Below are 9,947 nucleotides of genomic sequence, written 5' to 3'. Positions count from 1 at the left end.
ATAGGCTACCCCCTTACCAGGGATGAAGGATTTGCTCTGTGGCTAATTAAAGGCTGAGGCGAATTGGTGCCATCTGCAGATAAAGGGATGGCCCGTGCTTGGCCCGAGGCCAATCCAAGGCACTCTTCCTTCCATTTGAGACGTGGTGGAAGCAGGAGGGTGGTAGGGAGAGTAGCCTTGGATCCTTTGTTTCTCGGTGTGGGGAGATGGGGTTTTTCCTTTTGGTTTAGCTTTAGGAAGTTTGTGTTAATTGGCTTTAAGGTCCCTGCCCCGAGACCCAGGTGGTTTCCTTTTAACTTTAGGAAATTATCACAAACTGGCCTCAGATTCCCTAACCACAGACCTTGGTGTTTTCCTTTGATTCAGCTTTAGGCAATCAATATGAATTGTCCTTAAGTTCTCTGCCTCTAGACTCTATTCTCTTGCCTCACTTCCAGGCCATGTCAGAACTTTGCCATTTGCTTTGAGGGAAACTGAGGGGCCACTGAAGTATAGAGCAGATGAAGGACATGACCTGAAGTTACTGGTTTTAGCAGGATCATTCTCTCTGTTAAAGGTAGAGTCATGCCAACACAGGCTGGGCATGGTGGTTCACACCTATAACCCCAGCATTTTGGGAGGCTGAGGTGGGCAGATCACTTGAGGTCAGGAGTTCAGGACCAGCCTGCCCAATATAGTGAAACCCTGTTGCTACTAAATATGCAAAAATTAGCTGGACGTGGTGGTGTGTGCCTGTAGTCCCAGCTACTCGGGAGGCTGAGGCAGGAGAATTGCTTGAACCCAGAAGGTGGAGGTTGCAGTGAGCTGAGATAGCATCACTGCGCTCCAGCCAGGGCAATAAAGCGAGACTGTCTCGAAAAATAAAAATTAGAAAAAGATAAATGTTTGAGAGATGGGTAACCCAGTTACCTGGATTTGATCATTATACACTGTATACTTTAAAATATCACATTACCTCCAAAATTTGTACAACTATGACATATCAATAAATACACACACACACAGACTGGGTGAGAGAGGGAGAGTAGGTTTAGGACTATCGTACGTATATTAGTCAGCATCCCAGAAGCAGCACTGGTACACTGCACTGGGTAATCTAAAGAACAGTTTAGTAAAGGGGCTATTACACTATAAAGCTGTGGCCAGGACGTCAGGAAACCAGTGGAACAGAGCAGGTACTATAACCACCTTTAGGCCTGAATGAATGAGCAAGAAGGAATCAGTGACAGAGAGTGCTGGGTGGAGAGGGCCCCCTGATGAGAACTGAGAACTTTGGTTGAGGTGTGGTACAACCAGGCTGTGACACCTGCCCAATTGTCCCAGAGAACTGATGTGTATGGTCTCTTTTAAATAAAGATAGAAATTAGCCCTCGCAATCTTGCAACTTGAGGAAGTTACACTTGTCTTATTTGAGTTCATTTCTCAGGAAACCAACCATCAAGCCTCCCAGATAGTATTAAGGAAAGGAATTGAAACTTATCAGATCTCTTGTGTCTGGACAATGAGATCTCAGACCCCTCACCCACTGTGACTGCCTAACCAACCACCTGCTTCCTGTTAACCAACTCCTCTTCACTACCCCTCCCTACTTCCTGTTTTCCTGCAAGTTACATTTATTCCCTGCTATATTAACCCCTTATTGTAGTCAGTCAGGGAGATGGATTTAGACTGATCTCCCATTTCCTCAGGTGCAGCACCTGATTAAAGCCTTCTTTCCTGGCAATACTCATTGTCTCAGTGATTGCATTTCTGTGCAGAGAGCAGCAGGACCTACATCAAATCCCTGGTGTTTCAGTAACAGCTGCAGGAACCCTGCAGGTTCCTGTGGAATAAACACACCAACATTCTCTTCTCTCCTCCTTTCATATCTTGCTAATATACCCTATTGACCAAACCAGTGGAATCCCAATAGAATGCAAGGGAAATCCTTGATGTCATCTAACTGTAGGTATGTGACCTACTGCCTGATTCAGTAGAGGGAGCTTTATTGGAATATACTCTTGCTCTTAATTTTCTTATCTACAGCTGCTTTTACACCATAACTGTGGAATTGAATTGCTACAATAGAGACCATTTGATCAGAAAAGCCTTAAATATTTACTATCTAGCCCTCTACAGAATTTTTTTTGACCCCTGAGGTAGCTCACACCAGTTTGCCTCCAGGACACAAGATAAAATGTATGGTGGGCAGTGAGTGGCTAAGGAGGGGCAAATGGCAGCTATCTATCACACCAGAAAAGAGATAACAGGGGTTGGGATATGTTTTATGTCTCTGTCTGTGGCCTATCTTGGTAAATGTTCCAGGAGCAATTGAAAAGCATATGTCTCTTCTGTTGTTTGATGAAGAATTCTATAAATGTCAACTATGTCAAGCTGATTTTTAGCAGAGGAGATAGTGAGAAGTGAAAGGATTCTGGAATTCTTTTGAAGTTAGACCCCAAAGTATTACAAATGACTTGGATTTGGAGCTTGAGAGAAAAAGAGGAGTCAAGGATGTCTCCAGAGATTCTGGCCTGAGGAATGAGGAAGGTAGTTTCGCCTAGGAGAACAGCTACAAGAGAAGGTTGATGAGGGGGTGGAGATAAATAACTCAGTTTGGGATATGTTATTAATTGCATGTTAGACATCACAGAGGAGATTTCTAGTACACAGTTTGATATACAAGTCTGGAGTTCAGGGGAGAAATTTAGCTCGATGTATAAATTGGGGGTCACAGTATACAGATGGTATTTGAAGTCCTGAGATCACATGAGACCACCGAGGGAGTGTGTATTAATAGAGGAGAGGACTAAATTCTGCATCCTGAGCTACCTTAAATCATTCACACGTAATTAAGCCACACAGCAATCCCATGACATGACTAAATTATTATCCCTACTTTGTACGTGAGACAAACAATTCTCAGAAGTCAACTTCGTCATCAAACGTCACACGTCTGTGAGTACTTAAATCAGGATTTGAACCGAACTCTGGACTTCAGAGCACATCTCTTTAATATTCCAAAATTAAGGCTCCATGCCACTGCCCCATAAGCTTCCCCCTGTGTTGCAGCTTCGGGCAGTACTCTCAGAGCCGCCACTGCAGAGCTCTATTCCCAAGGTTCTTCCTGGGTCACTTGGCTTTCATTCTGCTCCCATCCACACTTTCTGAGAAACTATTAAGCTATTGGCTGAAGAACTAAAAGGAAGTAGAATTTGCTAAAAGAAACAAGGGAGGGGGAATATAATACAAATATTTGTTTAATATAGGATGCTGCTGAAGCTTGTATATTTGATCTTGCCAGATCTCATGTCAAAATTTGAACCTCTATATTAGAATGGAGCCTAGTAGGAGGCGTTCGAGTCATGGAGGCAGATGCCTCATGAATGTCATGGTGCCCTCCTCTAGGCAATGAGTGAGTTCTTACTCTATTAGTTCTTTGTTTCTTTCTTTTTTTTTTTTTTTTTTTGAGGCAGGGTCTTACTTTGTCACCCAGGCTGGAGTGCAGTGGCATGATCTCAGATCACTGCAACCTTGATCTCCTGGGCTTAAGCAAAAAAAAGCAAAAATTTTTGCATTTTTGGTAAAGACAGGGTTTTGCCATGTTGTCCAGGCTAGTCTCGAACTCCTGAGGTAAACCAGTCCACCTGCCTTGGCCTCCCAAAGTGCTGAGATTACAGGCATGAGCCACGGTGCCTGACCCTTACTCTATTAATTCTTGTGAGAGGTAGTTGTTCATAAAAGAGCCTAGTGCCTGTTCCCCCTCTCTCTTGATTTCTCTCTTGCTGTGTGGTCTGCCCATGCCAGCTCTCCGTCACCTTCTGCCAGAGGTCCTCACCAGAAGCAGAGGATGGGCCATGTTTCTTGTACAGCCTGCAGAACTGTAAGCCAAATAACCTCTTTCCTTTATAAAGGAATACCAGCTTCAAGTATTCCTTTGTAGCAACACAAATGGACTAAGACAGATTCTGTCTATCTTACACTAATAATGCTAATGTTTTAATGGTAATATTATAAACATCTGTGAAAAGTAGTTTGAAATGTATTGGCATAATTATTGGATGGGTAGGTAAACTTTAAAATTAAGCTATTTCAAAAGCAAAATTTATTTGCATGTATATGCATATATGTGTATGTACATGTTAAACACACATATATATACGGATACCACACCCCAAAAAGCATGGAAAGATGATTAATAGTCCTCCATTATGCATCAATATGTAGAGTTGCTGTGGCCCAATTGGTAAATTTTTCAACATGTGGCATTATAATCCATTTTAGCACTGAACACTTTGGAGTTGCTCTACTGTTCAAATTAAAAGTATAAGGCCCCACCATGACACTAGGAAGTGAGGCCAAGTGTCTAGCATTAACGAGAAGACAAGTCAAGAAAAGCAAAAGGCTTTCTGTTCAAAAGCAGTAGAACCACATGGTGTTTGTAAGATACTATGATATGAAGAAAACAGGTTGTCAAAACACAACCTGGAGGCTCAGGCACTCATAAAGCCATGATGTAGCTCTGAACATGCTTTAAACTTCCTCAAAGGTACCTGTGAAAATATCTAAGGAAGCCATTGTACATTTATCAGTTCTGATGAACTTTTCATTCAGCCTCTTATTAACAAAAAGTTTAAAGTTATTTTAATGGAATATCAATAAAAACAGGAAACACAAAAGAACAGTGAGGATTTTACAGTGGTTCGAATGATCCTGTGTCATATACAAAATTCTATGATTGTTTATGATGCATCCTCATCTAATCAATTTACACAAAAGGTTTATTATACATATTTATATGTGTATGTGTGTGTATATACACACCACATATATACAAACCATATATGTACATATATATGCATATATATACGTGTGTGTGTGTGTATGTATATATATATATATATATATATATATATATATATATATAGTTTGATAACAGTGCTTAGAAATTTGGCCCCCAACCCCTTAGCTAGAGTGAATAAATTCAAGGCTAGTCTCACACTATATTAGAGTTTCCACGGGAAAAGCAAGTTGACTAATCACGCTTCTGCCAGGAATGTAAATTGCTGTGTGTGTAGGGCCTCCCCTCATGTTGTTTTGCACCAGGATTCTCAATAAGCATAGGCCTGTTGCCATAAAAGAAAGTCAGCCAGTCAAATCCTGCCAACTCCACTACAAAGATATATGAAGACCTCTTCCTGATCATCAATTCACACTCACCAAGCATGTAAGACAATGTCCAAGGCTCTCACTCTGGAGTCTGGGTAGGAGAAAATGATAGCTGTGCATTCACCTGTGCCCCACCAGCCCGACTGCATGGGGAGAAGTCAGCAGAACAGCTCTGGGTCCAGCTGCTTGGGCTGGTACTGAAAAATGTTGAATAATCAAATTGCCCATTTCTGCTCAATTGCTCTAATTTATTATCCCAGGCATTCTGAATGCTAATGAAAACCACCTATCATACCAGTCCATGTCACTCTACTTTATGATCTTATTAAAATCTCTGCATTTCTTAGCCCTGCGACAACAAATAGAGAGTGGGACAGCTGTCCTCCTGCCTCCAGTGTGGTTCAGACACCTGCCCTGCCACTGCTAACAGCTGAATGATTTAGGCCAAATGAGCAGCCTTGGAGTGATATTTTTATACTCGTGACAGGATTATATAACTTAGAGAAAGACCATTAGCGAATACAAAGGAATAAGCAGGATGGGGAAGCAGGTGAAAAATGGGCAAGTAAATCTTTGGGTCTGACTCTTCATAATAAAATGCCCTTCACGTTTAGATTTAATGAGCTGGTTATCTCACCAAAAGGGAAGGGGGAAGCTGTCGCCCAAGCTTCCCAGCTTTTCTCAAGATGCACCCAATTACAAAGGGAGACCAGGCAGATGCGGCAGGCGACGGACTCCTGGCTCTGAAGGGTGCTCGGTGGCAGAGTAGCCAGAAAGCCGTCCAGTGGGAGCGATTAGCAGCCCTCAGATCTCCAAGGCTATGGCTGGGAAGGGAAACATGGAGTTCATATTTGTGGCCCAAATATGATTAAAGCTAATGAATCTACAGCAATTTAGGCTTTTAGCATGTGTATCAGTTTTTGTGCCCTCTTCATTGAAATGGAAATAACACAATTTTGCTAACACCATATGGTGAGAGCTATTTGACAGAGAAGCCTAAAGCCATGTCCCCTGGGGCAGGAAGGGGCGGCATCTCACTATTCTTCATCTCAACATTGTTATTTAGTATTAACTATGAAAACCATATGATATGAAAGCCTCCAGAGAAAAAGTATTACTACCATTTACCATTCAAGAAATACATGCATTTAGTTCCCTCTTGGACATGATTCATTCGTAAAAGAAAAAATATATTTGATATTTACGTGCATATAGTAATTACCATTTCTCAAATTTCTATGCATTTTAGTTTCAGAGCAAACGTTAGCTTTTGTTATCGATGAGGCTCACATAAATTTATGTAGTTATAAGTGACATATATGCAGTATATATGTGTATATATAAACACATGTATATATAAATGTACATATAAATATACAAAACCCCTTAATGCTCCCTAACCTTATCCACTTATGGATACTAAGTTGAATGCCTATAGGTCAGACCCTATATTTGCGGTATTAATAACTTCCTCTTGTTGAATAGCAGGAGCTTATTGTCTTACTCCAGGTACTCCCAAGAGAGTTGTAAACAGGAGATGGAATTTGTTTTACATTTACTTTGGGCTCTGGGCTACCCCTGTGCTTCCCTGCCAGCCCACTAGGTATTAATGCTTACCTCACTTGATGGAATTTAAATCTGCTCAAAAAGAGTGCTGCCAACCCTTTTTTAAACTTCCAACCCTCTCACCTCCGCTCCACCCCCAAGCACACACACACAAGTCACAGACTTCTGTGCTCACCTCTTTACTGTTTAGAATTCTCAGCTTTTCTTTCCAGATGTCTGATGTTCATCTCTCTCTGGCTTGCAGAGAAATTCCTGCCTCTCTCTTCTCTGGGATGATGATTTTTTAGCTGAGGGAATGGGGAGCTGGTTATAACAGTAGGGTATCTTCCAGCACTGGTATTTGCCACCACCCCAAAAACACAGTTATTGAATGTTTAATACACCTCTCCTCCCAAGGGAGCTGAGTCACTCTCAGGGAGCTAAGTTGGGATGCATTTAAACACAGCCTCAGCTTACTTAGAAATACTCTTCCCTCTGACTTAGCCACTATTATTAAGCCAGCTCCTTCCTTCCTTCTGGTGATGTTTTTCATCAAAGCCATATCGTTCCTCCCCTGCAATCTGGTTTCTATCAGGGTCTATTCAATTCCTCATAAATATCTGTACTTCTCTGAATCCCAGTTGTGGTCAGCTTTTATATTCTTACCCATTGGCTTCTTGCTCCCAGGCAAATTATGGAATGTGGTTATTCTTAGTAGTGGGAGTTAAAAAAAAAGTTTGTTTTCTTAAATGCACATTCTTGCAGATCTTTGAGCTATACTCAGTTGGAAGCATAACCAGATGGGGAGAGGGATTCGAGGAAAAGCAAATAAAAGAGAGCAAGTGAGTCTGGAACTAGCTAGCCCTGAGATTAATTTATCTGTGTATTCACTAAATAATATGTTAAGATCCAAGCCAAACAAGGAGAAACATTGTAAACAATAGCCTTGGGATGTTAAACCTTAGCCTAATGATCATGTCAATATTGACCATGGAGATACTGCATTGTCAAATTTGTTAAACATTTAACCAAAAACTGAGACAAAGGGAAATCTGGTTGTCTATTCTATGGATCGCTTGCCATTCAGACTTTGTTTTGTATGTCTGGAGGTGCACAGTTGAATGCCAGGAAAGCACAATTGTTTTAATATTAGTTTCTCTCAGCTTTTTTATTCTACTCACTACTGGAAATAGCAGAAGGAGAAAGACAGGATGCTGCATTACTCAGCAGGCAAAAATCAAGCCCCTCTTGGCCTATTTCAACTCTCCTTTAGATGCATCTCTGTGTACAGAGATATGTTTGCATGTTCATGGAAGAGTGTGTGTGTGTGTGTGTGTGTGTGTGTGTGTGTGTGTGATCATTGCTATTCACCTGTGGTGGGGGGAAGTCTTGAAACACAAACTAGACTGATAGTGGTGGCCTTTAAGGCAAGACCCATTTATTGTGCATTCCAAGGGATGAAAGGCCATAAATGTTACCTGTCTCAAATCTGACTAACGCTCTCTCCTTTGCTGGGTGCTTCAAAAAGTGTATAGAGAACACTCTGGTTGAGCTGTGCAGAGTGAATCTGTAAAACAAGAGCTGGCTTCATCACTGTTACTGCCTGCCCATTCTCTTTTCTTCACCACTCCCTCCCGTAGCCACAGAAGAAGAGATATGTGAGACCCACACACGCAACCAGGTAGATGACTCAACATGTTCTTCCTGTTACATGTGCACACATTTTCAAAGACGGTCATCAGGAGAACCTCATGACTAATATGAGGAAATGACGTGTCAAAAGTAAAAATCCAAGGCTGGCAATTAGTGGCCCACACCTGTAATCCTAGCACTTTGGGAGGTCAAGATGAGAGGATCTCTTGAGCCCAGAAATCCAAAACCAGCCTGGGCAACATAGCAAGACCCCATCTCCACAAAAAGCAGAATTAAAATTAGCAGACATAGTGGTACATGCCTGTAGTCCTAGCTACTTGGTAGGCTGAGGCAGGAGGAGCCCAGGAGTTCAAGGCTGGAAATAGCAGAAGGAGAAAGACAGGACGCTGCATGAAATCTTACTCAGTGGGCCAAAATCAAGCCTTTCTTGGCCTATTTCAACTCTCCTTGAGCCCAGGAATTCAAGGCTGCAGTGAGCTTTGATTGCACCACTGTACTCCAGCTTGGGTGACAATGAGACCCTGTCTCTAAAAGAAAAAAGTAAAGAAAGAAAAATACAAAATATCAATTTAGACAATGGCATAGATGTTTAAAGAGGAGGAAGAGGAGACACATTAACATTCCTCAGAATTTCATTATATAGGCTATCATTTCCTTTGCCAGCATTGAGACACTGTGTAGAAAAAAATGGAGCTGATAGACGGTGAGCTTGACCATATTGAGAGCAGTTTTCCAGTGTTGTTAAAGAACTTAGAAATAAATTGGTGGCGTACATTTTAAAAACAAAACTATGCAAAGAAAAATATTGAGGCAACTATTAACTCTAAGGAAGACCAAAAGTGATAAAAGAAGACAATGTGATCTGCCCCACTTGGCTCAGCTGTAAAAACTGAATATTTAATGAATGAATATATTAGGAGGATAGAGCTGTTGGTAGAAGTTATGTGGAAGTTGTAAGAGTTAAATCATCTTTCATCAAAGAAAATTTAAAAGTATCTAAAACTTAAAATTTAAGAAGTAGCAATGTTGTTATATTTAGAAACATGGAGGTAAACCGAAGAAAACTAAGAGTTCAAAACAGCTCCCTCTGCTGAATAAATTGAATGGGAATGGGTGAGTCAAAGAATTGTTTATCATTAGAATAAGTCTTGTAGATCACTTGATTCTTTTCAAGTATGCACATATATTTTGATAAAAATAAAAGCTAAATTCAAAGTTTTCTAAAAGCCTCAAGACAGGAAAAGCGAAGTTTCTCTAGCTTGCAAGATATGCTACAGTTCCAGGAATCCAGACTAGTGGAAGGAACAAAAGGGATTCTTCTTCCCCTTATATCTCTCTTTAGGGATAAGGAGCCCTCTCCCAGAAGGCCTCCAGCAGGTCTCTTCTCATATTCTACTGTCTAGAACTGGGCCAGATACCCACCTGTTAACCAGTTGCTGGCAAGGAAATGGGACACTATGATTAACTTAGACTAATAAGAATTTAATTCCAAGTCATATGGAAGATGGTGAAAGAACACCCAAACACAATAGAAATAGGAAGAACAGAAACAGTTGAGTGGTCAACCAAAAGTGTCTCTCAGCACATAAAATAATTATTCT

The 9,947-nt window shown here is 41.1% G+C and overlaps 1 annotated feature.

The window, feature by feature from the left end:
* Positions 8,129–9,328: an enhancer, noted in NCBI's record as "BRD4-independent group 4 enhancer chr8:35717700-35718899 (GRCh37/hg19 assembly coordinates)". NCBI's record gives its function as "activates an origin of replication core promoter dependent on BRD2, P300/CBP, MED14 and CDK7 cofactors, and independent of BRD4, by STARR-seq in HCT116 cells {active_cell/tissue: HCT116}" and the evidence as "EXISTENCE:reporter gene assay evidence [ECO:0000049][PMID:35650434]".

The sequence above is a fragment of the Homo sapiens genome, chromosome 8 (assembly GCF_000001405.40).
Source record: "Homo sapiens chromosome 8, GRCh38.p14 Primary Assembly".
Taxonomy (NCBI): Eukaryota; Metazoa; Chordata; class Mammalia; order Primates; family Hominidae; genus Homo; species Homo sapiens.
This window is presented reverse-complemented; position numbering and strand designations above follow the sequence as displayed.